The sequence below is a fragment of the Homo sapiens genome, chromosome 7, assembly GCF_000001405.40.
Source record: "Homo sapiens chromosome 7, GRCh38.p14 Primary Assembly".
Lineage (NCBI taxonomy): Eukaryota > Metazoa > Chordata > Mammalia > Primates > Hominidae > Homo > Homo sapiens.
In genome coordinates, this window is record NC_000007.14 from 135,395,982 (window position 1) to 135,423,608 (window position 27,627).

Genomic DNA, 27,627 nt, shown 5'->3' on the forward strand with positions numbered 1-27,627 from the left:
ACAAACTGGTACTTGAAGATGTTTTAATGAAAGCATGAAGTTTCAGAAAATCAATTAAATCATTAACTTACATATATACTCTTTAAAAAAATATTAATCTGCTTGAAAAGATTAAACTAGTCTCCCTTTTTTTTTTTTTTTTTTTTTTTTTTTTGAGATGGAGTCTCACTCTGTTGCCCAGGCTGGAGTGCAGTGGCTTGATCTCGGCTCACTGCAACCTCGGCCTCCGGGGTTCAAGCAATTCTCCTGCCTCAGCCTCCCAAGTAGCTGGGACTACAGGCGCGTGCCACCACGCCCGGCTAATTTTTTGTATTTTTAGTAGAGACGGGGTTTCACCGCATTATCCAGGATGGTCTCGATCTCCTGACCTCGTGATCCACCCGCCTCGGCCTCCCAAAGTGCTGGAATTACAGGCATGAGCCACCGTGCCCGGCCATCTCCTCTCTTTTTACAACTTTACTTCTCTCACTTTACCAAGAAAATAATATTTCTCATTCTGGGATTTTACTACAGTATTTTGCTCAAGAGTGAAAACTTTCCAGAGGCCAAACACAAATTATTAGAAATACATGGATTGGTGATAAGAGAGAAACTGACTGTAATGGCTAGATTATTAAAGAAAGATCTAATTAAGTTGTTTCCAAACACATCATTAAAAATAATTTTGTATAATAAATCTTTGTATGATTCTTAGGTATTTAATTCAGAAGAAATTGAAAGACTTGAGTGGTACTGATATAATACTCCTCCTTCCATCTACCTATTTATATGAACAAAGTATCTTATCTCAACACTTACATCTTAGAAAAATAAAAAACACGACTAGATTGCTGCTGAAACTTGGCTCTTTTACCAATAGGTAACATTAATCTAGAGATACATACAAACCAATTTTAAAATGGCCCTATTCTTCATTAAGAGATGAATTTTCAATATAATTTTACTATTTATTTTACTATAATTTTACCATTTATTACTATTTGTTTCATGGTTTTTAAAATTAAAATCTACATTTATGTATAGTGTCACCTCAATACTACTAATAAAATTCAGAAGACAAAAATTGGCATTTGAAGTCTGTGACCGCAAAAACATTATTTCAATCCAAAAATTTATATGCCTATTTTTAAGAGAAGTATATGCTTTTCAAGCAAAAACTATATTGCATTAAGATAAAACTCTATAATAACAGAAAGAGAAAAATTAGTTCACAGAGAAAAAAATAATGTAAAACTTCTGATTGTTAAAGGAGAGCATGTGTATTTTTTTAAATGGATGACAGGATAATAAAACAGAATTATGATCAAAACATTATGATGGGATATCAAAACATTAAATTTTTCAGATACCAATATTTCTAATATGCTGGAAATTACATCCTTTGCAACTACTTTTAACCTGTAAAAAATGTTAATGGGCAACTAAAATACACAAGGGGATATACAGATTTCCACATTCTTTTACAAAATGTGTCATTAAAACGTTTAGAAAAGCATTATATTTTAGATCTCTAAGTTTTTCATAAATACTGTGGAGGACTGGCTATTCTTTACGGGAGATACTAAATTACATTTATTTTACCAATGTAAGAAGATGTATAGAAACTCAAGGAGTGAAAAACTAGCCAAAAAAAAAAAAAAGTTCCCTGAGCAATAAGACAAGATGACATAAAGCATGCTCTAACGGTCAGCACTCCACTCAGTTTCATAGTAAATTCAACTTTGAACAGTTTATCTGGCTTATCATTTCAAAGCTGATAGTCATTTGGGGAAAATAAGAAGGGAAACTGTTAGGGACAAATACACTTGACTGAAATAGAAAATTAAAGTAGAGAGCAAGGGGCAAGGGGAGTATGTGGTAGGAATACAATTCTTAAAAGCAAGGAACTCAGAAGGCATGCTAGCCTGGGACCATTTGGCACAGGGTCAAAAAGACCAATAACATTAGCAGACTCTAAAGATAATAGTATCTGGTCATAATGATAATTCTGAGTCATTAAAAAAGGGTTAAACTATGCTCTATATATTCTGGGGGGAAAAGGCTAATTATAATATGATTAATAAAGATGAGCATCAAAAGTGTTTTTAAATTGTGTCAGTAAAGTATTTTTAGAAAATTCACCTGCATGGAATACCTTGCTTTCGGAGTATGGCAAATAAATCAAGTGATACTGTATTCAAATCTTACCTGCTGGGAATTATCACCGTTCCCTATACTGAGAGAATCTGAAGGTTTGTCAATGGGGCTATAAAAAGAAAACAAATTGAATAAAATCAGAATATAGTCATTCTCCTACAATAAAAACAAACTCCTCAAAAGAAAAAAAAAACAGACACTTTACCATCTTAACAAATGTTTATTGAGGTACTGGGAAGTAAAACATTGATTAAATGTTGAGGACACAAAGAAGTACAGGTTGAGCATCCCAAATCAGAAAATCCAATATCTGAACTGCTTCAAAATTTGAAACTTATTGCACGCTGACATGACACTCAAAGAAAATTGGTCACTAGAGCATTTCAGAGTTCAGATTCTCAGATTTGGGGTGTTCGCCCAATAAGTATAATGCAAGTATCCCAAAATCCAAAAGAAAAAAAAATCTGAAATCCAAAACACTTCTGTTCCCAAGAGTTTTCAACTAGGGATACTCAACCTGTATAAAATCTCTACCCTTAAGGAACTTACATTGTAATTAGATTCTCCAAAAATAATGGGTAAAATAATAGCTTATAGGGGGAAAAAAGGCACTGCTTACAATTAATAGATCAAAAGTCTAACCTACCATTTATTTTTGTGCATGTGATAAACATATTCCCCATTTCAGTTTTTGAAATAATACTGACATTTTTCTGGGTGTTTGACAGAGGGCATAAAAGTTATTGAAATATTCTCCATAGGTTTTTAAGAGCAATATATTTCTTTTAATATTTCTATATACTAATCATAACCCTAGAGAAGGCATGAGAAATGAGACAAAAGAAACATTTTTGGGCAAACTACTGATTCAAACAAAAACATTAACATTTTATTTTCACATAGAGAAAATGTAGTACCATGGTAAAGTAAATCACTGACTTCAAATCCATTTTATCTTGACTGACTTAAAGACAAAATAAAATCTCTATAAGCACTGCAACAGTGTACTGATATCATTCCTATAACTAACTTTATTTAACTCAGCACATGAACAAAAATAGTCATGGGTTGCTTAATGATGGGATACATTTTGAGACATGCATTGATAGGTGATTTTGTCATTGTGGAAACATTAAAGTGTGCACTCACATAAACCTAGATGGCATGGTTTACTACACACTGAGGCTATATAGTGCCTAGTGCTCCTACGCTGCAAACCTGTACAGCATGTTACTGTTTTGAATACTGTAGGCAATGTAACATAAGGGTAAGCATTTGTGTATCTAAATATATCTAAAAATAGAAAAGGTACAGTAAAAAAGTTATTTCTAATTATATAGAACCACCATTGTATATGTGGTCCAGCCATTGTTGACCAAAACAAAACATTGATATGTGGTACATGACTATCGTTACTCAAATGTATTGTTCTGATACTGTGTTATAGGAAAAAAATTAAGATTCCAAATTTCTTAAAATTATTTTATTCCCTGAAAATATACACAAAGTCCCCTTTCAAACAGATAACTTACTGATACCATATTTAATTGCTCTAAAAAAAATATCTAACAAGGGTTAGTACCCAATCTGAATCCCAGGTGCATCTTCTGCAGACATTGCCAGATGTTCTTGATTATAAGCAAACAGATTTGAAATTTACTTGAAGAGCATTTTTACTTATTATTCATAAAATAGCAATAAATCAATGAATATTAAGTAATATGGGTAATGCAAACAGTTTAAAGATATAGACCTGAGCCCACTAAGTTTAGAAGTATTTGGGGGAAAGAAGATAAGTGCACAAATAAGGTAAGTACAAACAAACATCAGCCAGTGCTTGCTATCAAATGAATTGTTTAAACAAACAAACAAAAACAATGCCATAAATCTTAAGAAGAAAGCAAAGCTACTACAAGTGGGGCAATTAGGGAAAGTTTCCTAGGGGAGTTCAAATTTAAGTAGGTCCTTAAAAAGATTTACTCAGCAGGAGAAGAAAGGGGGAAAGGGGAAAGAACAGCATTAAAGGTAGGAATACCTCCTGTGTCAAGGGTCAAAATGTCGGAGACAGTGTTGGCAGAGCTAAGTATTTAGTTTAGCTAACAAATGGGATAGCTGGAATAATAATGGAAGGTAAGGACAGAAAGGTAAACACAGGTTAGGCTCCATAGGCCACAGAAATGACCTAAATAAGCAGTGTTTTAGAAAGATTAATTTGGTGGCGGAACATAATAGCGATAATCCGAGATAAACTTGCACTATACTTAATACTATGGTAATAAGGGCTTCAAGCTGAGAGAAAGAGGTGGTAACAGAAACAAAAGGCTAAAAGAAAGATATTACAAAGGACGATTTCTAGTGTCTGGATCTTGGTTCATCTTCCCAGTCACCACCCAATTTAGTGCTTCCATAAGAGCACTAAATAATAATTTTCAATATAAATGAGGTCTTGCTAATGGCCAGGGCAACATATGAAAATATTACATAAAAAACAAATCTTAAGGATGTTTCTGGATTACAACTAATTAGAATAACTTATATCACTTTGTCCACCATCCAACTGCAATTTCCTAAGCACTGATTCATAATACTTTATGCTTTACCTGGGAAGGTTTTATCAAAGATGTTTTAAAATTTGTAGATTGTGTTATCTATCCGATAATAGCTGCTGAAAAATCAGGATTATGGCAAGAGACCAGTAAATGTATGTTCTACTCAGTTTTACTATATTCTTCTCAATTTATTTTAACAATAACAAATTAAAGGAATAATAAATGAAAAGCTTAAAGAATAAAGATATAACTAGAAATTATTTTACTTCCTATGTGGACTATAACAAGTCAATTATAGTTACACCTGATATTATATTAATAATTGGAACTATCAGTGGAAAAGAATAAAAGATAGGAGAATCCCTGAAAATACATGGGTAACCCCAATAGAAAGAAAAACTATATTTACAAATTCCAATAAATGTGAACTCCTTGTTTCTCTAATGGCTGGAGAGAAAAGAGTTATCTTGAGACTACGACCAACAGGTCAGAGTCCTCACAACTCCACTGGCATCAGATGTAGAACTTCCTTCCTCATGAAGGATAAGCACTGAGTCTGCTTAAGGTCTGGTAATATTAATAAATTTCTTTTACTTTCAGCATCCACCCACCCATTATATGCCAAGAGGGTAACTGCTAAGAAAATAAAAACTTTAATAAATACCAGATTTACTCATGAAGAGAGTATTCCATGACATGGACTATTCCCTGGTCAAAAATTGCCAGGTCCCAATGTTATCAGATATAAGAATTTGGATGCACTAAGATAAATTGCACAGGGCTTTTTTTATTTAAAAACAAACAAAAAACCTACAGGTTTTCTTAAATCAACCTCTTTCTACTGCACTAAACAAAATTACTTGCATTTTGAAGCTAAAGTTTTGTTGTTCATTCCATTTTCAATGGGAGAGATTTTTTTTAAAAAAACCATTTGTACAGCAAAAAGCAGTGGGGCAGAAGTTGCCTAGTGAGGGAAAAAGCTAGAAAGGTGTTTGAAAAATTGGAGATACCAATTCTATCCTCAAGGATAGAAACAAAGAAAAGCAGATAATATAAACTGAACTAAAACAAAGAATGAGAGAGGCAAAAACAGAGGTTGACAACCATCTCTGAAAAGGCTAGGAGTTGAGAAGACTGACTACACCTGTACTTCACTCATACAATGAAACTGTCATGATCTGAGAGAAAGAGAAATCAAGATGCTGAAGTCCATAAATACCATGCAGTTCATTGAAAAGTACTGGATTCAAGTGGGACTAAGAAATACTAATAGGTAATCTGGTCTCCTAACACAATCAAGATATTCCCAGAAGGCAATGCTGTATGTATAAATCCCTGTACATAAAAATTCAAAAACATGTATTTTCATACAAACGATCTAATTTTTTCCTTTTTTTTAAAGTTTCAGTCCTAAATTGTTTTAAAAATCCATGGTAAGACTATATCTTTTTTTTTTTTTTTGAGACAGAGTCTTGCTCTGTTGCCCAGGCTGGAGTGCAGTAGCACTATCTTGGCTCACTGCAACCTCCACATCCCAGATGCAAGTGATTCTTGTGCCTCAGCCTCCCGAATAGCTGAGATTACGGATGTATGCCACCATGCCTGGCTAATTTTTGTATTTTTAGTAGAGGTGGGGTTTCGCCATGTTGGCCAGGATGGTCTTAACCTCCTGGCCTCAAGTGATCTGCCAGGCTTGGCCTCCCAAAATGCTGGGATTCAGGCGTGAGCCACGGCACCTGGCTGAGATTACATATTTCTTAGGAGGAAATATTTGTAAATTAACCCAAAAGGGCAACAGAGCTTTTTAAAATACATATATGCACAAAATATATACATATTTATTTATTTAAAGTAAAAAGTATATATCCAGACTCCATCATGAAAATTCTATTCAATTAGTCTAAATTGAGGCATCTGGTATTTGATGATCACTGAAACAAAGAGAAGAGGAACACAATGAAAAGGCATCAAGACTCCTCAAAGTCTCTCAAATTATTAGATTTCACAAGTAGAAGAAATCACTAAAATCAAATTTAATTACTTTGTTTTACAGATAAAGAAATCAAATTCAAAACTGTCTGCAAACAGGTAGTCACTGACACAGCTGGGTCTCAGTTTGGATTTGTAGATGTTCAGCCAAGTTTTGATTTCTTCTAACTTGCTCCAAAGGCAATGCTTGAATTTTACTTTCTTTTACTACTTCCTTAATGGCGATGCCAACCAAATCACTAAATATAGTCTCATGATTACTTTAAAAAAATTTGCAACATAAACCAATTACATAGTAGAAGAATCAAAGAAAAAACATTTTCAAGGATGGGGGTGGACTAAAAAAAAGTTAGAAGGTTTAGTTTTTCTGCTTACCAAATTCAAAAGAAAAATAGTCAAAGTGACTTACTGATTTTTACTTACATTTTAAACAAAATATAAAATTTACTTACATTTTAAACATAAAATTTACATAAGGATAAAAGTCAACATAACAGACATTTCCAAATTTCACTGTCATGTTACCATATATACAAATACATATTCATTTTGCTTCTAAATTAAATACTCCCACATATATTCATTTCAAAGAATCTATCTTAATTTTGCCATTTACCAGAGTCCCTAAGTAATTCTGAGATATTTTTAAACACTTGCTAACACAAAGGATATATTTAAGTTATCAACAGGTAAAACTTGCCTTTACAGAATATACTTTGACACAGGCTTCAAATATACATTAACATGTAAAGTATTACTTTGCTACTAAAACATGGCCACATCTAAGTGGCATAATTAGCTATTAACAGAACAAGAAGCTGGGTGTAGCACTACGTGCCTATAGTCCTAGTTGCTCAGGAGGCTGAGGCAGGAAGATCACTTGAGCTCGGGAATTAGAGGACAGCCTGGGCAACACAGCAAGATCCTCTCTCTTTAGAATAAATTAAAAAATAAAAAAATAAAATAAAAAGGTAAGAAAAATGTGCCTTATTAAACCTAGAACGATTGTAGTTGTGTAAATATGATTTTAATTAGAATTTTCTCATAACCCCATGACCTACTTAACATGAATGAAAATAAATGTTTTGATAACTATTAATAAGTACAAAGAATTAGTTTTTAATAATAAAGTCAAAATATGGACATCTACTAGCCTAAACATATCACAAAATGTGGTAACCTTCAAAAACAGCAAGTCTCCACTTATTCATAAATTCTGTATTTCAGTAATACACTTAATGTTTTTAAAAGATTTATATTTAAGTTAAACCTAAACACACTTCTTATTTGCTTTCATTCTAGTAAACAAGGGCACACACAACCCTATCTTTAACTGCCCCTTAACCCCACACTCATCCCACCCCACCCTCTGGAACAAATACTTTAGACAAGTGGTTCTAACTTCTTTTTTGACCATATTCTACTTAGGTGGGCCAAGATATCCCAGTTCACTTACTAGTTTTTCACTGCATATGCACATGTGCACTAACTCTGTATGTAGCCAAATACGACATAGGAAGAAAACTTTTCAAGAGAAATAAGGAAGATTCTGAGATATAAACTCAGAAAAACCTAGTAATCTGCTGATTTTAATGTAAATATAAAATCTTAGCAAACTTTAACTCACTCACTTAACTTACTAGTCCATTTCTCATGGCACCTGACCATAGTTTGAGAATCACTGCTTTATTCCACTCCTGAATTCACCTCTAATCTATCTAGAAGTATCAGCAGACCAGTGCCCTCTACACCAATATTTAATTGATAACTATTTTTAGGTCAGTTCTCTCTCTCAAAAGAATGTGCACAGATGCAAAATGTTACATAAAATTTCAGTGTTCACAAATATCCTGAGGCCTATTCATAATCTAACAATCTCTGCTTGAGACCTTTTTCTACAAATCTATGAACTATGTCTTTTCTAAATCTCAAGAGTTTTACCAAATAATTATGAGAATGGAATTCATGCAGTGACCATTCCCATTCTGCTGAACTAATAAGGTACTCTGACTATACCTTCAGTCTATCAGAGATTATACTTGATTTTCAGTAAGGATATAGCTGTATTTTTATTTTAAAAGATGTATACTCCTTCTCAAATGTAATAAAAATCGATAAATTCCTATAAAAGTTTCCCTTTCACCATTTCTCTAGCTAATCCATTACTGCCACCAATCTGTGGCTCAGGGAAAGTTTGCTAAAAATAACATCAATTCCTTGGAATTTACAATCCATCCACTACATCTGTCTTCAGATAACAAGCCTCAAGCACCAGATATTTTCAAGATCAAACTACATATAGTTATGGCACAGTTTCATTTAAGCAAATTTGATTTATGTTTTAAAAAGTTTTTCCTAAGAGCTGCTCTTAAGAATTTTACCTCTTCTAGACTGAAGAGTGGGAGAATGAGGGATGAGCTTGGGCTTTAAAGTCACAGAGACTTTGGTCAGAATCTTATCTACTGCTTATTTGTGTGGGATACTGGTAAACTGTTTAAACTCTCTGAGACTTAAGTTTTTTTACCCGTAGTAAGAAAACAATATATACCACACAGGCCTACTGAGGATATTAAATGAACACAGAAGACTCAAAACTTTTATTCCACCCTCGCTCCACCTAAATCTAAAGCCGAACATCTCCATTTCCTCAATGATGGCTTGTTTCAGCCACAATATCAAGTCATAACCATTTACACCGAGTGATCTGCATACCCCACAATTCTTGTAACTAGGCCTGCTCACTGTCTTGGGCACAGCAGCCTACCTAGTTACTATTCCTTTCACAGTTGGTACTTAAATAGCATCTCAATCTAAATGAAGATATTTCAAAGCCCCAAACTTAAAAATAATAAAATAGCCAGTCCTTAAGCATCATTACTGCAAGGCTTCATCACTTCCCACTCTCATTACTTGTATTCATCATTTCAAAGCAACTTATTCATAGCACATATATAGTTCAAAACTCATTAAGACTGATATACTCTCGAATTCATAATAATGAAGGGGAGCAGATGACAAATTCCTTTTTTAGAATTTTCTGCTCACTAGGTGAAATAAGAGTAAAATATATTATAGAAAAATTCACTTACTAACATATATGTGCATCGGGGACCATGTCAGGGTTCAGTGAGGATTAATAGCTATGGTAATCTTAAGATTTGTACTCTGGCTTAATTGAAAATAAGAGAAAATCACATTTTAAGCTTAGAGCCTCAATCTATAAGGTTCCAGGCTTTGCTTTCTTGCAATTCTTTCTGTAAAACTGCTACCCACTATCTAGGAATGCCAAGAAATGTGAAAATGAAACCCTTCTTTGAGTTTCTTTTTTTCCTAGAAAGTTTAAGTCTTAACTTACCTTGAAGATGAAGAAACCTATCTCTTGGGTATGACCTTGGAAAGAGTTACACTGCTCATCACTCTAATTTGGCAAGTCTTTCCTGTGAGAAATCTTATCTACAAATTCATCCCTACTACCTACTGCCTCTGTATGCCTACCCTGGGTGATGGCAATGTGGAAGTGGAAACCAAAGCAGACCTTTCGCTATGACTGACAGTCAGCCAAAGGCTTACTCTCTGTAACTTGGGCCATTAATTGTCACTTAATAAATTTAGGTAACCGCATTAAAACAGAAAACATCCCCACCCCCCACCCTCCCCCCCAAAAAAAGTTTCTATATCATGTACTTATGCAAAGCATGTACACCTATGTCAAAATTTGCTCTGGCCAGGCACAGTGGCTCATACCTATAATCCCAGCTCTTTGGGAGGCCAAGGCAGGCGAATCGCTTGAGCCCAGGAGTTTGAGACCAGCCTGGGCAACATGGTGAAACGCCATCTCTACAAAAAAAAAGAAAAATTAACTGGGTGTGTTGATGTGCACCTGTAGTTTCAGCTATTCAGAAGGCTGAGGTGGGATGATCGTTTGAGCCTGGGAGGTCAAGGCTGCAGTGAGCTACGATTACACCACTGTGCTCCAGCCCAGGTGACAGCAAGACTCTCAAAAATTTTTTTTTATTCTGGTCCCAGCTGAGGTTCTGTAGCACTGGCTTTGGGCAAAATTAGTAAATGAGTTTACTTGTTTTATATTTCCTCTTTTCCTCCTGTTTCCCCCTTTACAACTTGTGGCTCCTAGACATTCTCCTGCTACCAAAACAGTTATGAATGTGCTCTATGGACTACCTGACTATACTTTATAATAAAGGCAAAGTCAATAAAATGTTAGCAAATCTATTAATAACTGATTACAAAAATAAGTAAATAATATAGTTTGAATGTATGTCCCCACCAAATCTCCTGTTGAATTATAATCCCCAGTGTTGAAGGTGGGGCCTGGTGGGAGGCATTTGAATCATGGGGGTGGACGTCTCATGAATGGCTTGGGCCATCCCCTTGGTGATGAGTAAGCTCTTGCTCTGAGTTCACAGGAGATCTGGTCATTTAAAAGTGTGTGGTACCTTCCCCCTCCAACCCCCTCCCTCTTGCTATCGCTGTATATGATGTGCCTGCCTCCCGCTTTGCCCAGAAGCCAAGTGATGTCAGCACCATGCTTGTACAGCCTGCAGAACTGTGAGCCAAATGAATCTCTCTTCTTTATAAATTATCCAGTCTCAAGTATTTCTTTATAGCAATGCAAGAACAGACTAAACACAGTAAAAGCTAACTACTTGTTATAAATGCCAAAGATACTTTTGGTAAATTCCAATATTCATTTCCAATCTAAAGGAAAAAAGTCTCAATAAATGAGGAATAACAAGGTATTTCATATTGTGATTAAAAATACTTATCTCAAGTAAATGATCAAAATCATCCTTAAAGAGTAAATAAAACACTAGAGACATCCCCATGAAAGTAAGTATGAGGTAAAAACACCTGCTAGTGCTACCAGTCTAACACTGTTTTTGCACTGTTTAGCCTAAGCATTTTTCAAATAGAAAGAGGTGGTAGGAGATCCAATACAATAAAACAGGAAAAAGAAAATCTTTCCCGAAAGGCACAAGAGAGATATGCTATGCTAATGGTTGGGAGGAGTCAATGTTTGTTTTTGTTTTTTGTAGAGGCAGGGGTCTTGCTTTGTTGCCCAGGCTGCTCTCGAACTCCTGGCCTGAAGTGATCCGCCTGTCTCAGCCTCATGAAGTTCTGGGATTACAGGCATGTGCCACCAGGCCCGGCCTCAGTGTCACAGAATATAAATTCTTCCAATACTGATTTACAAATTCAATGTATTTTGAAACACAAATAATTGATCAACTGATTGGGGAAGTTCAGATCTCTGTAACTCATATAAAACTTTTAAACACACAAATAAAACATGGGAAACATAAACTCACAGTGCATAAAAAGTTCACTCTGTTAATCAAATACAAGTTAAAATGAGACAGCTTTTTTTGTTTATCAAATTGGCAAGTATGCAGAAGGCAAAAAAAAATACCCAATTCAAGGAAATAGGTACTCTCATATTCTGACTCAGCAGTTCTACTTGTAGGAACAATCAAAGCTATAACCATTTATATGTTACAACCATATAACATTTATATGTAAAGATGTTCATATCACAGTGTTATCAATAATATCAACAAAGTCAACATAACATACAATAGCAGAAGGTTGGCTTAATAAATTTAAAATATGAACATATAGTGAAATACTACATAGCCATAAAAAATTATGTTTTAGTGACATGGGGAAATTATTCATAATAATATGTATTAGGTTTTCAAATGTAACAAACCAAGGTACTCTGTGTATAATGGTTTATAGGCATTCGCAAGAAGAAAAAAGACTAAGAAAATACACAATGCAAGGAATTAGTGTATAAGAAAATACACTAACACTTTACAAATTTACATTTTACAATAATTTGTATTTATTCATGCATTCATCTTCCAACCTACTTACTGGGGTTCAGGGTTGCAGGTGGCCAGAGCTCATCCTAGCAAATCAGAGGGCAAGGCAGGAACCAACCTTGGCAGGGTCCCCTCACACACATAAACACTCACACTCACTCACAATGGGACAATTTGGACATGTCAATTCACTTAACGTGCACAGCTTTGGGATGTGGGAGGAAACCAGAGTGCCCAGAGGAAATCCACGCAGACATGGGGAGAACAGGCAAAGTCCACAGAGGCAGTGGCCCCAACTGGGAATCGATTTTTTTCTCATCAACATTGTAACAAAACAATACTGAATGAAATGATGTTATTGGAGGGCATGCTGTACACAAATCACTTTCAATGAAAAGCTCTGGGTATTAAGATCATATGCAATGTTTATTTTATTCTGTATGCTTTCATAAATTTTTCACATTTCCTTCAATAAAAACATATAGTTTTATATTCAGAAGACAACAAATGTTATCTCAAAGAGATCATCTAAATTTTAAATTTTTGCTCTGAAATCACCAAGGGCTATAAACCCAGAATTTGACTTAAATTAGAATGACAACATTTTTAATGCAAACAATGATGTGCATAAATGTTAAAAGCATCTAAAATAAACCACTGTTTACTACAATAACTTCATTCTTATACCAAGCACTACAGAGGTGGCAACGAATAAGATAAGTAATAGCATATGGTTTGCCATAAAATAACCATACAGGGCTAGAAAAGGGTGGGTACAAAAGATTAAAGGAAAAGATCAAAGCTTGTCAAACCAGAAAGATCTGTTTTGACTTAGCTTTTATTCTTAGCTTTGATATAAACAAATTTTACATAGTTTACTATACAGTAACTTTATGTTTCGCTTTGTGGCCTATTTTATATTTATTTATATTTACATACACATATATATGTGTCTAATTTAGTTTTTAATAATTTAAATAATCTTTACTCTTAAAATGAATAAACACAGACTTCAAAATTTAAAGAATGTGTTTTTGAAGAAATGGACTCAAACAATAATCCATGTAGTTATTATTAGCTATGTTTGAAAATAGTTCTTACATCATTTTAGCACCAAACAGACACTGGGCTATAATATTTAACACCTAGACATTAGGACAACATTCAAACAAATTTAACTTTGGAATTTTAAAAAAAGATCATCAACATAAATTAATTACAACATTTACTTTTAAAATTCATTTGATAAAAGTTAAACTTATCAAATAAAAAAGAACAAAAAACCTAACACATCAAATTTAAAGAAAGTTCAGGATAGAATAAAATTCCCAAATTATATTTATTAATATGATTTTCTGACAGGCCATAACAAAATATAATCTAAGATAAGAAGATCAACATATCAGAATGAGACTCTCTACTGAAGACCATAAATTTATTTAAGCATTGACACAATATAGTTTACCCAAAACCATAATGAGATGGAAGATAGGAGATGACTGGTCTCCTAAGATAAGTAAGATTCTGAATATGGGATACTCCCTGTTCATTTACAGGATTTAAATGACTTTAGTGATTCCTGGAACTAGATATCCTTGAATATCTGTGTCCCCAACACACAAGGCTTCCTTCAGATAACACCCACTTTCCCTTTTATAGTATTTTCCCCCTAATTATATCAAGGGGGACCTCAATTAGGTAATCAGAGCCTTTTAAAACCTAAAATCCCTTAATTTTCTCTTTAATAAGGAAAGTATTCCCTGGGCTCAGAGTAGTCTGCAAATCACCACAAAAGGTGAACCCATCAAAAAGCTAGTCTGAAGTGTTACCAGGGAAAAGTAGGCAGCAAGCATTCAAACCCAGAAATTGTGACTCAACATTTCCCATACAGCTAAACAATTCTGCATAAATGACAGACCTTGTCAACAAGGATTTTGCCTGAAAAAGATCTAAAATGAAAAGAGAAGATCAACTGATAAGAAGGTAAGATGTCTGACTATCAATATCAATACTTACGTATCGTACCTCTGCAGTGGTGTCACTTTGTTCTTATTTTTATCAACTGAACCCGTAGATAGCTGAAGAAAATTGGGATTTAATTTATATAATTCTTGAAGTAGCTTCTGTTCATATTCTTGGTGTTTACCCGCCTAACGAAAGAAGAAATTAAAACTGCAGTGGGATTCACAAAATGGCTGGTATAAAATACTGAATAATCTTCTGAATTATTAAATATATTTTAAATAAAATAAATAATATTTTTAAAAAATAAAATATTAAATAAATTTTAAATAAATTTTTAAATAAAACAAGTAAGAGAAACCTGTGAGGATATCACAAAACTTCTAGATCAATGAAAGTCATTCCAACAAAATTATATGATATATATCTGATAAATTAAATTAAGGCATTTCATCAACCCATTTATTGTACAGAAAAGCATATTAAGGGAAGAACATTTTTGCTAGCTCAAAAAGTGTAAGGTCCACTTTAAACCTACTTCCAAGTCTTTCATGTAAGAATTAAGTCTTGTAACACTGAGTTTTCTGAAAATCAGCCAAAATTCATCAGTCTCCTTTTTAATTTGGAGATTAGCACTTGAAGTAATACATAGATGAACAGTTTTACTATATTCTTCATTATCTTGACACTAAGTAAAACTTCCATGAATTAGTTTTTGCTTTCTCTTTTCTTCTATGGTTATCAAAAGTAAAATAAAAATTAATGTATTTTAAACTCTAGACCCAGGGTCAGCAATTTACAGCCAGTTGCCTGTTTTTATAAATAAAGTTTTACTGGAACATGGTCATGCCCATTCATTTACATATTGTATTTGGCTGCCATTCTGCTACAAAGGCAGGATGTAGTAGTGCAACAGAGGCAGAGTAAAGTAGTTGTGACAGAAGACTACATACATAGCTCAGAAACCCTAAAATATTTACTAACTGGCCTTTACAGAAAAAGTTTGCCAACCTCTGCTCTATACACAAAAGAATGCTATGCTTACTCTAGCTGGGTAGGTGTACATCAAAAGGCAATGTCACAAATATTATGGGAAAAATTAGGCAAAGATTGCCTGTGGAAGCTAATTAGACACAAAAATAAATGATAATGAACTTACTTTGAGTAACATTTTACTATTTGCATGTATATCTAGACTGGAAGAATAGTTTTACTTACCTTCAGGGATGTTAATTTTTTTAAATTATGGTCTAAATAGATGTTATACAACAAAACCAAAACGGAACAAATCAAAACAATAACAAGTGAGGGCAATTGCACTTAACTGAGCATAATTGTGTCATATATACTGCACAATGCATCGTTCCCTGTTCTGAGAGGCCACTTGCTTGTTTCTATTGGACCTATAAATATTTCCTATGGCACTAAATTTTGAGTTACGCAGTAACAAGGAAAGATTTTCTGATTTTTGCCATAAAATTTATTCAAATTTCTTTCCTACATCAAGAAAGTGTTTTAACAACAACAACAAAAAATCCCCTTTTAAAGTAATTTTAAACTCAGCTAAAGAAGAGCAAGATAAATTCAGGACAACATTATGAAATTAGTTTTAAATTATTTTTAAAAATACATTAGATGTGAAATTTACATTTTTAAAACATGAAAAGTCTTGAAAATTATTTCTGGAATCAATACTTCAGGAGATACGGCTTTCACTAATATCTGTGGAAAGCCACAAAGAGCTCAACTTGATATTAAAATGACTCTACAGGGGCAGTTCATAAAGACAGGTTAAATCCCATTACAAACAAGTTCCAAAGGACAGCCCATACATTTTATTTTATTGTTTAATATTACTTTAAATGAGATCAACTGGGTGGGACTTGTAAATTCTGATAGACAGAAATTGATAGGAAATATGAATAAAGTATACCCTCTACTAATTAAAATTTAGTTTGAAATTTTGAAATGGTTCTACCTTAGATTTCATTCAAGAAGGTTTCATCCAAAAAACAAACAAAAAAAGCATTAAGAAATCAGTTAAGTCATCTGTCCTTATTAAATATCAGATAGACCTTATTTTAACATTGTTTTTGAATCATAAAGACCATACTATCAAGAAAACTCTGATGTATTTATTATAATGGGATTTAATCTGTACTAGCTCCAAGTCAAAAAAGGTAATACTCCATTTAACAATCTTTTCTTAAAGGAGCCCCTACCAGACTTTCTCTAGTTTGACCTGGAGAATGAAAGGTAGCAATGAATGCCCCCCACCTTCTAAATGAGAAGTATTCCTGAAAAGTCCACAGCAACAATCTGAAGTCCTCATCTACAATAGGGAAGTGCAGCATTGTGCTTTGGTATAATCCTCATTTAATATGTCGTATGGTCAACATTTTTACTTGTTAAGGCATGTTTATACTACAAATTGAAAGGAGACAGGAGAAGAGGAAATGTAAAAAAGAACATAGGATATTAAGCCTTCAATTCACCCTTTACAGGATACTGACTCAGTGGACACTTGCATGGGGAGAATAATTTTGTAAAAATAATATTAGTTTATCAGCATCATTTGACAGAGTATTATTTTCTAGCAAGCTCTGTAAAGAGTATAGATTGGTTTAACAAATAATTACAATATCCCACTTAGCTTTCATTTTGTTGACATTCCCCTTAAAATAGCATTTCCCAAAGTGTTTTCCTGGTCAACTAAGTTCTGGTTGTAAATTCCCTTCGTGGATCTGTATTAGCATATTAAGGACTCTGAAAAGTCTTAAAGCAAAGAAACCTGTTCATCTTCATTAATCTAGCATTTCAAACTTAGTTGACCACAGACACATTTTTATTGTAACAATATCCTGCAGAACTGACCTTCCATTAAACACTTCATTTGGCAAATGCTACTTTAAAGTAATATCAGTTTTTACAAAATCAAATCCTTAGTTTTTGCTTTTGCAATGTTAACTAATAAAAAAAAAAGTACTCCCTTTTCTGCAAAGTTGATAATTCACATGACTTTACTACCTGCATTTCCTCTTTTGTGAAGCTGGCCGCCTCATCCCCCAATTCATGAAGATACATGCAGTCAGGTTTTGGACACTGCATATTCTTTAAGAAGTAACTGCAGTATTTTGTTGTACCTAGAGATGCCTGCAGGAGGAAGAGGGGTAAAGGAAAAGAAGACTCAATGTGAACTGACAACACAATGAGAATCTCCATGTTTAGTGTTTTCAAGTCACCTAAAATGAGGCACAAACATGACAAAACAAAAAGTATGGCTGCAAATACTAGAGAACTAAACTCTTATTAGCAGGATTTATTATAGATGAGGCTCATTTGGAAGAACTAAAGGAAACATCTGTCTATGGTTTCCAAAACTTGGACACCCAAATCTTCCCTAGATATAAGGAGAGGAGATAGACAAAAAAATCTGTTCCATGTTATGAGTGGTTAGACACATAAGAAGGCAAATTCCTTTTTCTAATTATGCCATCCTCCTTCCACTAACAGTAAAGCTTTGCTTAGTGGGACTCTTCACTGAAACTGGAATCAATGTCCATATATTTAAGGACTACCTATTTCTGAAGAAAATAATGGTACTATTTTCACAAAATAAGATATATGTAAAAATGCGATATTTTAAAAGATTATCCCCGATAATGAATGTGTTTATTCCTATCTGGTAAAAGAGGACCCTACAGAAACCAGCAGTAAACAAATTAGCTATAATAGATGGTATGGACCCTAAGACAGACTCTTCAAATTAACTGTCAAATTTAATATATAAATGCTCAGTTCTCCTCTACTTACTATATTTTATCTCGTCTTCCTTAAAAAAAAAAAAAAGAATCAAGAGGACTATATTACCTTAAGTGTTCTGCCATCTACTACCACATTGTTGACACACTGTATGGCTCTGAGAGCGTCTTCTGACCGGATATAGGTTACATAAGCACTGGCACTTGGACCCTAAAGTGAAAACATCCCATTCCACTGTTATTAGTTAAAAATTAAACAATACTAAAAAAATTCTACTGCAACCTAGGGAATTCTAAAGACCCTGACTACTACTATTACTAATGACAATAATTAGTAGTAGTAGTGGCAGTTTTGATTAAACACTAAACTAGCTCATTTGAAAGTAATAATACTCAATGAATTTTATCTGATTTTAAGAATACTGTAATATATGTGAATAAAATATTACTTTGGCTTGGGATTTATTTTTTTAGACAGTCATTTGACAGGCTCGTCAAGGTTATAAAAAAATTAAAATTTAGATTAAAAAATAAGACTTAAAGACTATGTCAAATTACATTCTCAAAAATAAATGCAATCTGGAAAACTATTCTATCTGATAACAGCAGCATAACAAAGACACTATTAAGTTTTCAATATCTGAAAATATTACAGATTAGAAATCACTATCGAATCCTCATCTATTTATCACATTGCCTGATAACAGACTCACCTCCCCCTCCCTTTCACTCCATCACTAAATGTTTGTTTTACTATTTCCCTCTTAATTGTTAAGTCCTAGAAGGGTCAAATAAGCAGCAAAAAATCCCCCACCCCACCAACAGAGGTCACTACATTGCTTAAGTCCTTGTCCCTCAAGCTTTCTAATCAGAGAGAGCAAAGTTTCCTTTGGAACAGCCCAGGTCAAGCCCAGACCATAGGGAGGAAAAGCAAAAATCCCTAAAATTAGTTACCTGTGAGCCTGCATATGATGTGCTATTATTGATGACAACTTTATGTATTTTACCAAACTTCCCAAAATATTCTGGTCGTTTTAAAACCTATAAAAGAAGAAGAAATAAGGTATAAACTGTCCCCATTTTAAACAACTTTATCCTTATAATGGAGACATTCATCATCCCTCTTCAGCAAAAGGAAAAAGATAATTTTTAAAGTTTTCTAATAAATGTCACTACCTCCTAATTGCAGTTTGTGTAGCTAACCTATAGGAAATCAAAAGAGTTTAAAAGCTATTTTTTTTCTTGACCCACTGAATAGAAACTGAGACTCACTAAATTTGGTATTATCTACTATGTTCTAATAACTGCTCCAATAGTCTATGGGATCTTACCTGTACAGTATTCTTAAACACAAAACAGATCAAAGATCTTAACTACATTGCCATTAAGAGATGATCCTTACACGAAAGCAATTCTTCAAAAACAATGACCAAAATTATGTATTAAAGGTAAAGACAGAATTGAAAGAACAGACATAAAGACAGTCTTTACTCATAAATCTATTGCATATAACACTGTTTATAAATCACAAATTTCAAGTAACAGAGTGCCCACTCAACCCTCTATGCTTTATGATTTATCATTGTGCATACAGTTTCCTATGTCAATCAGTTTTACCATTTCTCATCTGTCTCATGAGGCTTTTTCCCCTACTTTTCCTGGTACGTAACATTTCGGAAACAAATTTACACGTTTCTTTCTTTATTACCTGGTTACTTCTTGGTGGTACCTACGTACCTCATCTCCTTTACTTTGTGAACACTATATGCATTCTTTCAGCTTCTCTTACAAACTTAACCTTGGCTAATTTGACCGGTATGTAACTTGATAAAAAGACATCTCACATAATTTGCAACTACCTCAAAATTCTGTTTTCCTAGAATGTATCTTTAGACCTACTGTTCCTACAATCTCTCCAAATAGCAAGCTCTCTGCAAATGAAAGCTTTCTGCATGTAACTATTCAAGTGTGTGTAAAGTATTTCTTCCCATTCATATTTGATAATATTCTTACAGACTTATAATTTAGCTATTATGTTCTGCATTTGATAGAATCAAAGCTTCATGAATAAATCTACGGCGGGTGTATCATTAATTCTTAGTCTTCTACCTAATTAATAGAAAGTAATTAATCTTATATTTTATTTTAGGTGCTTGTAAGTATAAGGTAACTGTTATGTTTGCTGTAGCCAATTCTAATGGATTAGAAGGTGAGGTAATTACACTGAGTTTCAATCTCTTTTCCACCCAAAACCCCTGAGGGATATGATAGTAACAGTGGCTAACACAATGACCCTTAAGTCATCCGTAGCAAAGTCTCAGGGTTGATAAAGAGAGAAGAGCAGAGTTTGAAAAAGCTTTCTGGCTAGTGGAGTTTGGAACTGCATTCAATATTCCAGCTGGATGCATACCAACTCAGCAACCAGCGTCATAGCTAAGATACCTGCTCCAAAGGGTTCAGTCAGGCCGGTCACAGGTTGTCCTGCATCAGCATCATAGGTTTAAGGCAGTAGTTCTCAATGAGGGAAGCACTCAAGGGGCAGTCTGGAAATTTGTGGAAACTTTTATTGGGAGAGACTGTTAAAGTGACTGGGAGAGTCTACTGGTGTTCAGTGGATGGGGACCAGAGATGTCTTTCAAGGCTCAGGCTAGCCCCGTACAACAAAGAATTGTCCCGCACAATTTCTGAATGCCCTGCAAGACATGCCTGAAGCTGTTTATTGAGCCAGAAACAAATTTCATATTATACGTAATTACAAAGTATTTTCCCAGCTTTGTTTAAAATTTTACTAAGAGTTATCTGAGAAAAATCACATTATTGATGTTTCATGGTACCTGAGTTGCCAATTCATACACCAGTAACAATCTGCATTTGTAGTTGTCACAGTCCATGATTTTACAAATAGGTGCAAGTATCTTACTTCTTTATTACATAGGATAAAATAGTACTTTAGAGCCTCAATATGTAAAGAAATTCTTCAATGATCTAGTTAAAATGCAGATTCAGATCCAGCAGATCTGAGGCAGGGCTGAAGAGTTTGCCTAATAAGCTCTCCAGTGATATTAATGTTATGGGCCCAGAGGCCACACCTTGAATAGCAAGGTTCTAGAGTAGGAATGTACAAGCATTTATATGTACAAATAGTCTTTTTATAATTACTTTCCTTTTATTCCTTGTTTATATATACTTTTTCAAATTATGTGTGTAGACAAATTATATTATCAAGAAGTCATTTCATGAAAGTCAAGGGGTGTTACATTCGTTTTTAAAAAGTGGACACTGAGTCGGATAAGGTTGAAGGCCACTGGTTTATGGAAATGTTTTCTGGCCAACGTTTGGGTGTAACACCTTTATAACAACATGAGATTGGTATGTAATTATGATGACATGTTCACACTGCAGCCAGAATGGTACTGTCAAAGCACAAATCTAACCGTGTCACTCTGTTCTTAAGAACATTCAAAAGTTTTCCACTGCCTTTAGGATAAAGTGCAAACTCCTTAGCGTGGTTAGAAAGCCCTTCATGATCCATTACCACTTACCTTGGCACCTTCTTTCTCACCACTGCAATCTAATCTTCCAGCCAAACAAATCACTTGCAGATTGAGGTCTTTCTCATCCAGAAGCATTTGTATAGTTGCTGTGCCAGAAGCACTTTACCCCAAAGACAGCAGAGGGGTACGTACCTCCCTCCCAAGGTGGAATGCTATCCCTTGTGCCTTTACAGCACACAACACTTCTCATATTGTTACTTTCGTAAAAAGGAAGGTACTACTTATTTATCTACTACTACTTGTTTATCAGTATATGCTCAGTGTCTTAAATAATGCCTGGCATATTGCAGGTACTCAATAAATGCTTACTGAAAAACTGAACTATCTTAGCATTAAACAAAAAGAATTACACGGATTTGTAACAATAGTGGGCCTCAAAGTATTAGCAAATGGCAAGCGGTTGATAAGAAATAGGCTGCCCAGGCAAGGGAAAAACAATGAATTTAAACTTTCCATATTAACTTGAACACTCTAGATTCTGCCTAAACAACTAGCAAAATAGTATTCTAGTGAACTAACAAAGGTTATGGAGAGTAGACAGAGCACCCTGTACATCAGCACATTATCTATATACTCAATATCACGATGTCCTTCACAGTGGGCCAATTTTCCTACTAACATAGAAAATAAGAGGCCATGTGACAGAATTATAAATGTTCAAGGGCATGTCTAGTACCAAAATATCTTGCTATATATTCCTTGGGAAAACAGTCAAGTATTCATAGATACTACAGAGAAAAAACAAAAACTTGGTAATCAGATGGATGAATGAGTGAATAAATGAATGGATGGATGAACAACATGCCAATAATCAACACAGAATACACTGGAATAGGAACTGTAAGACCACGGACAAGTCACTCAACTTCCTTTTGCCTCAGTTTCTTATTTGTAAAATGAAATGTTGTGTCTTTAAAGTCATAGCTCATCAAACAAGCTACTTTCCTGGGTTATCACATATACCCAGGGCACTCTTCTTTATGTGCTACCTAGATAACACCTATTAATTCTTCAAGCTGACCCTAATTATCCTTTCCTCAGAGAAGCTTTTTGTCAATCTCCACACTAGCTAAGTGTTCTAATATATGTTCCCAAAAAGCTGTGTAATTTCCTTTTATAAATACTCAGCACACATTTAAGCACTTAAAATTCTGTCTTCCCTACCAGTCTGTGAGCTTGTGTCTGGCTTGCTAACTACTTCCCCCCTACCCGCCCCCTGGCATCAAAATATCTAGCAAATAGTAGGTATTCAAGAATTAATTTGCAGAATAAATGAATTAGGTCCTCACAAATCTAAAATTTTAGGACTTAGAAGGTGATCATCATTACCTCTATCGTTGGCTCTAATTACCTTGTCTTCTAAGATCTTTTTTTTTCTATCAACCAACAAATGAATACATTTGACAATCAATCTTGGTATGAAGCTTTTTGGTATGCAAAAATTATTTTCAAAATAAGCTTTAATTGTTCCTAAACTCTCCTATTCTGTTAATCAGAATTAGGTCAAATATCAAATTGTTCATCATCCAAAGATAAGTAAATTACAAGGATCCTTCTTTGACTTGAAAGTGACGCTAACAATTTGAACCTTCTTTTGAGTTTTCGAGTGAAGCCAACTTCACTAGAAGTTTTCCAAATACTAAAAAGGTTATAAAGACAAATTAAGAGAATTTTAAAAGATATTATTTAGAAGTGGTACTATTTAATAAAAAACAAAACACTTGTCTCTGGTCTTTCTGGACTTTCAAGAGAAATAAAGGAAAGCACCCATTTATTTTATTTAAGAAAATCCAATGTCCTCTCACCAAGAAAGAATTATTTCAAACATATAAAACTAGTAGAGTATATTTTTAAGTATACTTAGACTCATGATAAAGTACTCTCTTTCAGTAGTCACTACTTAGATTCATTTCCTTCAATATAATAGTTAAGATTAATCTTACTAGAGTTACTTGAAACGGAAATAAGAAATCTCTGTAAGTAAATAAAAAACACGATGGCTCACACCTGTACTCCCAGCACTTTGGGGGGCCGAGGCAGGTGGATCACTTGAGGTCAGGAGTTTGAGACCAGCCTAGTCAACATGGTGAAACCCCATCTCCACTAAAAATCCAAAAAAAAAAAAAAATTAGCTGGGCATGGTGGTGCACACCTGTAATCCCAGTTCCTCAGGTGGTGGAGACAGGAGAATCACTTGAACCCAGGGGGTGGAGGCTGCAGTGAGCTGAGATTGTGCACTGCACTCCAGCCTGGGCAAAAAACAAACAACAACAAAAACCCTCTTATAAATCACATACCCAAAGAGGTAGGAAACTTAGAATCCAAATATCATATTCAGTCTATGCCTTAATTTCATCCAAATTTTGGATGCTATTTCATATGCCTCCAGTACTACAGTTGATCAGATCCAAGATGTATTAATAAAAACAGGTACATCCATATCCAAGAGCTCTCAAATCAAGATAAAAGTTCCATTCATTTACTGGAACTGCACGTCAGAAACGTGAAAGTAGATTCTAGGTTGGGCGCAGTGGCTCATACCTGCAATCCCAGCACTTTGGGAGGCCAAGGCAGGCAGATTGCTTGAGCTCAGGAGTTCAAGACCAGCCTGGGCAATGTGGCAAAACCCCATCTCTGCAAAAAATACAAAAACTAGCCAGGTGTGGTGATATGCACCTGTAGACCCAGTTACCTGGGGGGCTGAGGCACAAGAATCACTTGAGCCCAGGAGGCTGAGGCTGCAGTGAACCATGATCATACCACTACACTCCAGTCTGGGTGACAAAGTGAGACCATGTCTCCAAAAAAAAAAAAAAAAAAAAAAGTAGATTCTAATCAGTAAGATTAGTAGGTGTAAATACTGGCATAAGTGCCCGTTGGTTAGAGGAGTATATAGAAGTGCCCTGTGGTTAGAAAAAAGGTAGCTCACACCTTTTTAACTCTATTTAATAGAGTTAAAAGATGGAGATAAAAGGATTAGTGCAAAGTTGAGATGTTGTTCAAGGAAACGATCAAAGGTGAGGCAGGATTCTCTCTGTCTGGGGAATAACCACTAGCTTAAAAAAAAAAGAGGGAGAACTGGCTACAGAAGGTGAGTCATACACCTAAAATGAGCTCTTTGCTGAACATTTCTTACTAAAGAAGTCTTTTTCTATATCAACTCTAGACCACTCCTTTGGATTTGGAAAGAACTTGATGTCCTGAGTATCATGTAACTAACGACTGCCAGCATCCCTGGACCTAGGTCATAGTAACTCTTGAGTTGCCTCCATGTTTATCATCCATGACAGATCCTTCTTACTAATGTCCCTGACTTTCGCGGGGTCAAAATCATTTCGTATTGATTTTGAAGCCCTGTATAGTTGCAACACATATAAACACATCATCAATAAAGATTAACTATTTTTTAAATTAATTTTTACAAAAACAGACATTAGACTCCTTAAAGATCCTCCTTCTGGGGCCTTTAACACGCTCAGCCAATTCCCAAGGTTCCTATCTCCTTAAGCATGTTCACTACAATCTTTCCTCTGATTGGTACCATGCCAAGTATTACTTTAAATTCTTCTCAAGGATCTTTTGGAAGATCCCCCAAAACCAGCTCTCTCCTACCAAGTAAACACTCTGCCTGTCGATCAGCTTATATTTGCCTTCTCAACAATCTAGTCAGTATCTCATGGTATATCAGAAACTAAAAATTACCAGATGCATATCCAAGGGCCTCAAGGAAAGTATGAGTTCGACATTACTCTAACAAGGCTTTTGGTGGAAGAAGAGAAAAAAGAGGTACTAAGAAACAAGGTTAAGCTCTCTCCTCCCCCGAATGAATGACAAAGAAATTGGGTCCTTTATTTCACATTACCAAATTCTCCCTCTTCCTCCAAACTGGCTTAAAATGAATAAGAATGATGAGACAGTATAGTAATAGTTCTGAAAAATCAAGAATTACTACTTGGGCAGAATTTTTAAAATCTAGGTTACTAAAATCTCTAGTGAGTTCAAACAACTGCACCTCCACTGTTGGTTCTTATACAGACACAGAAAAGAGAAAAGAAACAGAGTATTCATATCACATGTTAGCCTTAACAGCAAAATAGAATCATTATCCAATTTTCACAGATTGTCAGCACGTTAGAAATCTAGTTCAACTCCTTAGTTTTAGAACTGAAGAAATTGAAGCCAAGAAAGATTAAGACACTTGCCTAAGATCACGACTGGTCATTGGTTTCTTAGCAATTATTCAAAAGTAATTTCTTATTTTCTCCTTCAAGATATAATGTGTTCAGAGGAATCACACAATTGAGCAGGGTCAAATATTATTTCCAAGTAAGACAAGGAAACAAAAAATATCAAGATGACAAAGAAAACAAGAGGACTTACCTCTGGGTCTGCTAGGCGCTGAGATAAACCTACAACAAAGACGAGGTTTTTTTGTACGACACGTACACTAGCCAAATGTTTGCGATTTTCTGATATTTTCTGTTTTCTCTCATTTTGTTTCTGTTTTTTCTCATTCTTTATCCTTTGCAGCTCTTCCTGGGAGAGTGGTTTATAAACTGCTGGGTCTTCTGGATATGGCTTTAAGCATGAAACAAACATAGACGTTAGCATTAAATTAATTAAAAAAACTGCGTAAGTAATTATCTGATTCTTGGTGGTGGGTATGTGGTTATCTGTTACATTCTCCCTTTATTAGAATGTTTTAACTGCTTAAAAAATTTTTTTATTTAATAAAAGACAAATGTTAAATAAAATAGTTCTAATAAAAAATTTTTTGGAGCTTAGCACAGACCACTTTTAGTGCTAAAACATCTACGGTTTAAAGGCAAAACAACAACAAACCAATCTTGATATTCCCTGCAGTGTCCAACAGAGTTTATGGGAAGATTAAGCCTCTAAGGTGCTATGTAAGAGGCAAGGAGTGTAAGTTCTTGCATCTAAATGTGGGTTTTACACATTATAATTAACAAATATTTAATGAAAACCTACTATGTGCTAGGAGATTAATGAAGTTACACATTTGTTCTTAAAGCAATTATTACTGTGCCTGGAACATAGTAATCTCTCAGTATAATACTAGCAATCACACTGTTGTGTGATCTTTTCTTTCTTAGCATTTTGATACCATTTTCATTCCTACTACTAATGCCAGGGCTACCAAATGAGGGCTCTGGAGACAGAATGCTGGCACTGCATCCTAGCTCAGCCATTACTATCTAAGTGACTTTGGTAAAGTCATATGACCTTTCTACCTCAGTCGTCTCATCTGTAAAATGGAAACTACAGTACTTTATTTATTCACCTATAAAGTGATTAACACTGTGTCCTACATATAAGTATTCAAAAGTCAATTATTACTACTAAAAACAAATAGTTAATGATAAATGGAAGATGCGGCACATTATTTTTTCTTTTCTTCCCTCCCCCAAGACCCGTGCACACACAACACCAACATAGGGGCACATTAAATGCCATAATATTTTAAACTGGATAGGAAGAGATTCCAGGGATGGAAACTCAACTGGTAGGGAAATTGGCACCTATCAGAATACAAGAGTGGGGAACAACAGAAATAATGCCAAACCAAAAAAAAAAAAAGGTGGAAACAAGGAAGGGTGGAAGAAATAGCTACAGGCCTGAAATTTTGCTATGACTTTAAAGTAAAGTTAACCTCCATCTCTTCATATATAAGCGTTAAAAAAAAAAAAAACCTCTCAAATTTGTGAACATACCCAGAGTAACGCTGACGGCAATTAAGAAAGTGAGATTTCACCTTATATTTCACAACTTTTACTAGTATATACCCTGAGGTCTCCAAGAACCCTATTCTTTC

General features: G+C 34.6%; 1 protein-coding gene across 16 annotated transcripts in view; it reads right to left on the reverse strand.

Moving 5' to 3' along the window:
* The window catches only part of CNOT4 (CCR4-NOT transcription complex subunit 4), a 148,308-nt gene that overhangs the window by 34,187 nt on the left and 86,494 nt on the right, over positions 1–27,627 (reverse strand). For 6 of the 16 annotated variants that reach the window (NM_013316.4, NM_001190849.2, NM_001393374.1 and 3 more), the window contains 6 exons: positions 26,175–26,372; positions 19,195–19,281; positions 18,350–18,451; positions 17,507–17,632; positions 14,543–14,667; positions 2,188–2,245 (listed from right to left, as the gene is read on the reverse strand). In NM_013316.4, coding sequence (NP_037448.2) covers positions 2,188–2,245; positions 14,543–14,667; positions 17,507–17,632; positions 18,350–18,451; positions 19,195–19,281; positions 26,175–26,372 — 696 coding nt within the window. Of the gene's footprint in view, positions 1–2,187; positions 2,246–14,533; positions 14,668–17,506; positions 17,633–18,349; positions 18,452–19,194; positions 19,282–26,174; positions 26,373–27,627 lie in introns of all 16 variants that reach the window. The other 10 variants (NM_001190847.2, NM_001190850.2, NM_001393370.1 and 7 more) reach the window with 4 other exon arrangements.